Below are 7,699 nucleotides of genomic sequence, written 5' to 3'. Positions count from 1 at the left end.
AGATGTTATTACAAAAATGGTAGACTAGTTTCTTTCTCCTTAATATTTTTAAATATAAATTTCCTTGTCATCAATACAACAACAGCTGGGCATTGGCCTAAATCTTTTGTTTGAACTACTTTATTTGATTTCCATTAAGAAAATACCATTTTATCCCATTTTGCAGGTAAATAAAATGTGTAAGTCATTTTCTCAAGATCTACAGGTAAAGCTAGTAAGTGTAGAGTCAGAATCCACCCAAGGAGGTCTGACTCCAAAGTTTACATTCTGAATCAATATATTATGATATGCTAGGATATATTACTTCTTTTCTACATGGTAGATTGGAAGGAGAAATAAATGTATTTAGCTACTAATTTAGAAATAAAGACATTATTTTCCACTTGGGTAAAAGTACAATGACCTACTAAAGTTGTTCTATCCAAATTTGTTTGTTGAATTTGTTATCAGCAGAAGTGAATTTTTAGCTGTATCTATTAGTGAGTTCCATGTCACTCACTATAGCATTTTCTTGAAAATAATGATTGCTAAAAAAAAAAGAAAATAGAGATAAAAATCAATGAATTTTATATGCTATTTCAGCAACTAGAGAAATTGGGGAATGAAATGAACAGTTAATATGTACAGTGAGTTTCCTAACACAAGCAATGGATAACCATCTGTCAAAAATACTGTAAGAAGAATTTCATTACACAGTGATAAAATGGACAATATAAATCTAGGGATCTAGTGCCATTTCTAGTCCTTTCACTTTACAATGTTTGTGTAGGATCAAATGCTTTGAAATTGAAGAAAAAGAGGATAAATAAAGGGGTTTCTGTTGGTGGATTGAATATACTTGTGAGTGTATGAATAAAAATATATATGATATAAAAGTATACATTTAGATATGTGTTTGTGTATAAAAATATATACTACATTTATCAATACATATGCTATATTTACCTATATACCCATATGTGCATGGGTGTATAATATAAATATATACTACATATATATGGGTAATATTATATATGTAATATATATTTGTATGTAATATTATCCAATTATATGTAAGATGTATTTATGTATATATGGCATATATACATTTATATATATCAGTATATATAAAACTGTACATATCCATGTACATGTCATTGTATATATATAAATATGATAAGAAACAGGCTTGAGTTGCAGGTTTCTATGATGATGGTTACCATCCAGGAATATATAACTTAAGAAATATTAACAAGTATGTGAGGGCAGTAGATTAAATATTGAGGTTCTTGTGAGGCAGAAATTTAGAACTGAGATTCTACTTATAATTGAAAACTTGAGAGAGCCTCAGTATGAAATGTTAAGCAAAATGTTCTGTATCATTTTAAATAGAAAATTTAAAGTATTTATTAATCTCTGGGATCTGCATGGAAAAGTTTTCTCTCAGGAGCAAAAGTAATCAAAAATTGCATTTCATATAAAATGTGGAATACTTCATAGCTTAGAAATTTTAATTCAAAGTGATCTTGAATATATATATAGAGAGAGATCTTAACAAAGAAGATTGAAAAAAGAATACCCTTCTTCATGGTGCTGTTCTACCATCTAATCCAATGGGGAACCTCAGAATGAAAGCAAGACATGATAATATAAGTTTACAATTATTGATGGCAGCAGTGGCCCATCTGAAGTGGCCACACTGTGAAGGCACAGGCTGCAGAAAGGGAGGTGCAGCTTGGCCTGTGTACTCCATGGAGCTGGAGGGAGCTGGGAACAGGCAGGAGACCCGCCTCCTTCTGAGTTGGTGGGGAAGGAGCCTGGTACTCCCAGGTAGAGCTGCAGTCACGCAGCTGTAGCTGCAGACCCAGTCATCCTTGCACTCTTGGGGGCCCAGGAAGTCCCCAAGCAGCCTCAGGCTCAGAAGCACCTGCTCCAGCTGCCTGGCCTCTCCCCATACCCAGTGCCCAGTCTGGGTTGGAGCAAAGTTGTGGTCAAGCCTGGGCACTGTCACAAACTGGCCACATGTGCATGCAATCAGGCTGGCACGGACACACCAGCCCTCTGCCACCTTGGCCTCCTCTGAACTTTGCTTTGGGCACCAATAAATGTGGTAGGAAGTGGGGGGGGGCTAAGAGCAGATTGGTGAATGCCTGCAGGTGCCCCTGGGCAGGAACATCCTGGGTGCTGTGCATGACGTGATTGATGGTGGCAGGAGGCAGACAGGCTCTTGAGTGGAAAGGGGTGGGTCCCCAACATAGTCCCACCTTTAAGCCAGGGATGGCCTGAAGCCTGGGAGCCCGGCTATCAATTCCAGGTGGAGTCTATAGCCCAGAGTGAGAATTTATGGTGGTTTTTCTGGGCCCACCCATGGCTGCCCATGGAACAATCAGCACACCTTTCCTCCCTTCTGAGCCCATAAAAACCTCAGATTCAGCCAGACTCAGAGACTCAGGACTACCAGCTCTGGGAAGCAGCTACCCAATTTAGGTGTCCTCCACTCATCAGGACAACCTGACTGCAGAAAGGAGCTACCCTCTCTGGGTCTCCTCTCCACTGAGAGCTGAACACTCATTGGGATGACCTGCCTAAAGAAAGAAGCTACTCAGTCCAGTTCTCCTATCCACTGACAGCTGGATACTTTCTGGATACTTCTTGTGGATAGGAGCTATCCACTCCAGGTCTCCTTTCTTCTGAGGGCTGCACTCATCAGCACTACCTACCTGCCTGCAGAAAGGAGCTACTCTGGTTTCTTCTCTGCTGAGGGCTGGACACTCACTGGGACAACCTGCCTACAGATAGGAGCTACACATTCTGGGTCTTCTCTTTGCTGAGGGCTGCACTTCTCAGGACTACCTGCCTGTGAAAAGCAGCTATCCATTCTGGATCTCCTCTCTGCTCAGAGTTGGACACTCACTGAAATAACCTACCTATGGAAAGGAGCTACCCACTTCGGGTCTCCCAACAACTGTTCTTTCACTCAATGAAGCTCCTCTCCACCTTGCCCACCCTCCAGTTGTTGATGTACCTCATTCTTCCTGGATGCAGGACAAGAACTCGGGACCTGCCAAATGATGGGACTGAAAGAGACATAACACAAACAGCTGAAATGTCCGGGTCCCCACTTGCCACATTATGGGTCATGAAAAGGATATAACAGCTGCAGCCATTTGGGAAGCCCATACCTAGGGACTCCCTGAGCCAGGGTTGTGACACCCTCTTTAGGACTCTGTGGTATCTGGCCTGTCCAAGATTCTAGGCCACCATCATGTTCCCCTTGTCCAGATGTGGGTGCCCACAGTGGAAGCCACTTGCAGTGCATCCAATCTAGGTGCAGGCTTGCATGGAGCCAGCACCTGTGCCAGCACCCGGAGCTGCCCACCCTACCACAGCAGCCGGTATGCCTGGCTGTGCTCAGTAACCAATCCCCATGCTTACTTACTTATGCACCCCTCTCTGGCTCACCCTTGGCAGGTGTGGGATCTGGGCTGGTAGCATGAGAGGAGAGCAGCCTCCCAGGCTAAGTCAAAGGAATGAGACCAGCAGGCCTGAGCAAAACTTGAGCAAAGGCTCCATCAGCCACAGAGTTTTCCATCTAGAAAAGAAACACCCTAAGTATACCGAGACATTATTAACTATTAAACCTCCAAATAGTTTAACCACCAGAAGCAATTTTATCTTATATGTTGAGTGAGATAAGTGCAAATAATTTTGTATTATCAAACATTAATCGATGTTATTCACAGTTATTCATTACAATTCTAATAGAGAAAGTATTTCTAAAAGAAGCAAGTGGAAACCGAAAGAAGATGCAATAAATACTTTATCTTTTAAAAAATATCAAATGTATTGGCAAATAACACATGAGCGAGATGATATCTTATGTTTTCAGTTTGCATTTTCCTGATGATTACTGATGTTGAGCATTTTTTTCATACACCTGTTGGCCGTTTGTTGCCATTTGTATGTCATCTTTTGTGAAATGTCTATTCAGATCACCTGTTCATTTTAAAATTGGATTATTTATGTCTTTTTGCTATTGACTTGTTTGGATTTCTTCTGTATTCTGGTTATTAATTCCTTTCAAATCAACAGTTTGCAAATATTTTCTCTCATTCTGTGGGTTGTTTCTTTACTGTGTTGATTTCATGAGGACTGTAAGTAGAATAGTGGTTACCAGAAGCTGGGAAGACACTTGGGGTGGGGGGCAGATGAAAAGAAGGTAGTTACTGGATACAAAAATATAGTTGGAAATAATAAATTCTAGTGTTTGATAGCACAGCAGGGGGACTGTCATTAACAATATTTTCTCATGTATTTCAAAATACCGAGAAGAGAAGATTTGGAATGATCACAACAGAAAAAAGTGATAAACTTTTAAGTTAATGGATATCCCAATTACATTAATTTGATGATTACACATTGTGTGCATTTATCCAAATAGCACATGTACCTCATAAATTTGAACAACTATTAGGTATCAGTAGAAAATAAACAGAAAAAATAGCATATAACCAGAAAGGAGGTTATCAATGTTAAAGCAGTTTCCTTTAATATTTAGGAGTAATATAAGACTACTTATTGATCGAGGAGCTAAGATGGCCAACTAGGAACAGCTCCCCTCTACAGCTCCCAGCGTGAGCGACGCAGAAGACGGGTGATTTCTGCATTTCCATCTGAGGTACCGGGTTCATCTCACTAGGGAGTGCCAGACAGTGGGCACAGGTCAGTGGGTGCACGCACTGTGCACGAGCCGAAGCAGGGCGAGGCATTGCCTCACTCGGGAAGCACAAGGGGTCAGGGAGTCCCCTTTCCTAGTCAAAGAAAGGGGTGACAGACAGCACCTGGAAGATCGGGTCACTCCCACCCGAATACTGCGCTTCTCCGACGGGCTTAAAAAACCGCGCACCAGGAGATTATATCCCACACCTGGCTTGGAGGGTCCTACGCCCATGGAGTCTCGCTGATTGCTAGCACAGCAGTTTGAGATCAAACTGCAAGGTGGCAGCGAGGCTGGGGGAGGGGCGCCCGCCATTGCCCAGGCTTGCTTAGGTAAACAAAGCAGCCCAGAAGCTCGAACTGGGTGGAGCCCATCACAGCTCAAGGAGGCCTGCCTGCCTCTGTAGGCTCCACCTCTGGGGGCAGGGCACAGACAAACAAAAAGACAGCAGTAACCTCTGCAGACTTAAATGTCCCTGTCTGACAGCTTTGAAGAGAGCAGTGGTTCTCCCAGCACACAGCTGGAGATCTGAGAACGGGCAGACTGCCTCCTCAAGTGGGTCCCTGACCCCTGACCCCTGAGCAGCTTAACTGGGAGGCACCCCCCAGCAGGGGCAGACTGACAGCTCACATGGCTGGGTACTCCAACAGACCTGCAGCTGAGGGTCCTGTCTATTAGAAGGAAAACTAACAAACAGAAAGGACATCCACACCAAACACCCATCTGTACATCACCATCATCAAAGACTAAAAGTAGATAAAACCACAAAGATGGGGAAAAAACAGAGCAGAAAAACTGGAAACTCTAAAAAGCAGAGTGCCTCTCCTCCTCCAAAGGAACACAGTTCCTCACCAGCAATGGAACAAAGCTAGATGGAGAATGACTTTGACAAGCTGAGAGAAGAAGGCTTCAGATGATCAAACTACTCCGAGCTACGGGAGGACATTCAAACCAAACGCAAAGAAGTTGAAAACTTTGAAAAAAAGTTTAGAAGAACATATAACTAGAATAACCAATACAGAGAAGTGCTTAAAGGAGCTGATGGAGCTGAAAACCAAGGCTCGAGAACTACATGAAGAATACAGAAGCCTCAGGAGCCAATGCGATCAACTGGAAGAAAGGGTATCAGCGATGGAAGATGAAATGAATGAAATGAAGTGAGAAGGGAAGTTTAGAGAAAAAGAATAAAAAGAAACGAGTAAAGCCTCCAAGAAATATGGGACTATGTGAAAAGACCAAACCTATGTCTGATTGGTGTACCTGAAAGGGACGGGGAGAATGGAACCAAGTTGGAAAATACTCTGCAGAATATTATCCAGGAGAACTTCCCCAATCTAGCAAGGCAGGCCAACGTTCAGATTCAGGAAATACAGAGAACGCCACAAAGATACTCCTCGAGAAGAGCAACTCCAAGACACATAATTGTCAGATTCACCAAAGTTGAAATGAAGGAAAAAATGTTAAGGGCAGCCAGACAGAAAGGTCAGGTTACCCTCAAAGGGAAGCCCATCAGACTAACAGCAGATCTCTCGGCAGAAACTCTACAAGCCAGAAGAGAGTAGGGGCCAATATTCAACATTCTTAAAGAAAAGAATTTTCAACCCAGAATTTCATATCCAGCCAAACTAAGCTTCATAAGTGACGGAGAAATAAAATACTTTACAGACAAGCAAATGCTGAGAGATTTTGTCACCACCAGGCGTGCCCTAAAAGAGCTCCTGAAGGAAGCACTAAACATGGAAAGGAACAACCGGTACCAGCCGCTGCAAAATCATGCCAAAATGTAAAGATCATCGAGAATAGGAAGCAACTGCATCAACTAACGAGCAAAATAACCAGCTAACATCATAATAACAGGATCAAATTCACACATAACAATATTAACTTTAAATGTAAATGGACTAAATGCTCCAATTAAAAGACACAGACTGGCAAATTGGATAAAGAGTCAAGACCCATCAGTGTGCTGTGTTCAGGAAACCCATCTCACGTGCAGAGACACACATAGGCTCAAAATAAAAGGATGGAGGAAGATCTACCAAGCAAATGGAAAACACAAAAAGGCAGGGGTTGCAATCCTAGTCTCTGATAAAACAGACTTTAAACCAACAAAGATCAAAAGAGACAAAGAAGGCTATTTCATAATGGTAAAAGGATCAATTCAACAAGAAGAACTAACTATCCTAAATGTATATGCACCCAATACAGGAGCACCCAGATTCATAAAGCAAGTCCTGAGTGACCTACAAAGAGACTTAGACTCCCACACATTAATAATGGGAGACTTTAACACCCCATTGTCAACATTAGACAGATCAACGAGACAGAAAGTCAACAAGGATACCCAGGAATTAAAATCAGCTCTGCACCAAGCAGACCTAATAGACAGCTACAGAACTCTCCACCCCAAATCAACAGAATATACATTTTTTTCAGCACCACACCACACCTATTCCAAAATTGACCACATACTTGGAAGTAAAGCTCTCCTCAGCAAATGTAAAAGAACAGAAATTATAACAAACTATCTCTCAGACCACAGGGCAATCAAACTAGAACTCAGGGTTACGAAACTCACTCAAAACCGCTCAACTACATGGAAACTGAACAACCTGCTCCTGAATGACTACTGGGTACATAACGAAATGAAGGCAGAAATAAAGATGTTCTTTGAAACCAACGAGAACAAAGACACAACATACCAGAATCTCTGGGATGCATTCAAAGCAGTGTGTAGAGGAAATTTATAGCACTAAATGCCCACAAGAGAAAGCAGGAAAGATCCAAAATTGACACCCTAACATCACAATTAAAAGAACTAGAAAAGCAAGAGCAAACACATTCAAAAGCTAGCAGAAGGCAAGAAATAACTAAAATCAGAGCAGAAATGGAAGAAATAGAGACACAAAAAAACCTTCAAAAAATTAATGAATCTAGGAGCTGGTTTTTTGAAAGGACCAAGAAAATTGATAAACCGCTAGCAAGACTAATAAAGAAAAAAAG

General features: G+C 41.8%; 1 annotated feature.

The window, feature by feature from the left end:
• Positions 4,986-5,487: an enhancer, noted in NCBI's record as "H3K4me1 hESC enhancer chr3:165743989-165744490 (GRCh37/hg19 assembly coordinates)". NCBI's record gives its function as "activates a minimal SCP1, AML or CMV promoter by ChIP-STARR-seq in naive H9 embryonic stem cells {active_cell/tissue: H9 hESC(naive)}" and the evidence as "EXISTENCE:reporter gene assay evidence [ECO:0000049][PMID:30033119]".

The sequence above is a fragment of the Homo sapiens genome, chromosome 3 (genome assembly GCF_000001405.40).
Source record: "Homo sapiens chromosome 3, GRCh38.p14 Primary Assembly".
NCBI classification, from domain to species: Eukaryota; Metazoa; Chordata; class Mammalia; order Primates; family Hominidae; genus Homo; species Homo sapiens.
The sequence above is the reverse complement of the archived record's forward strand: the minus strand, read 5'-3'. Positions and strand labels throughout refer to the sequence as shown.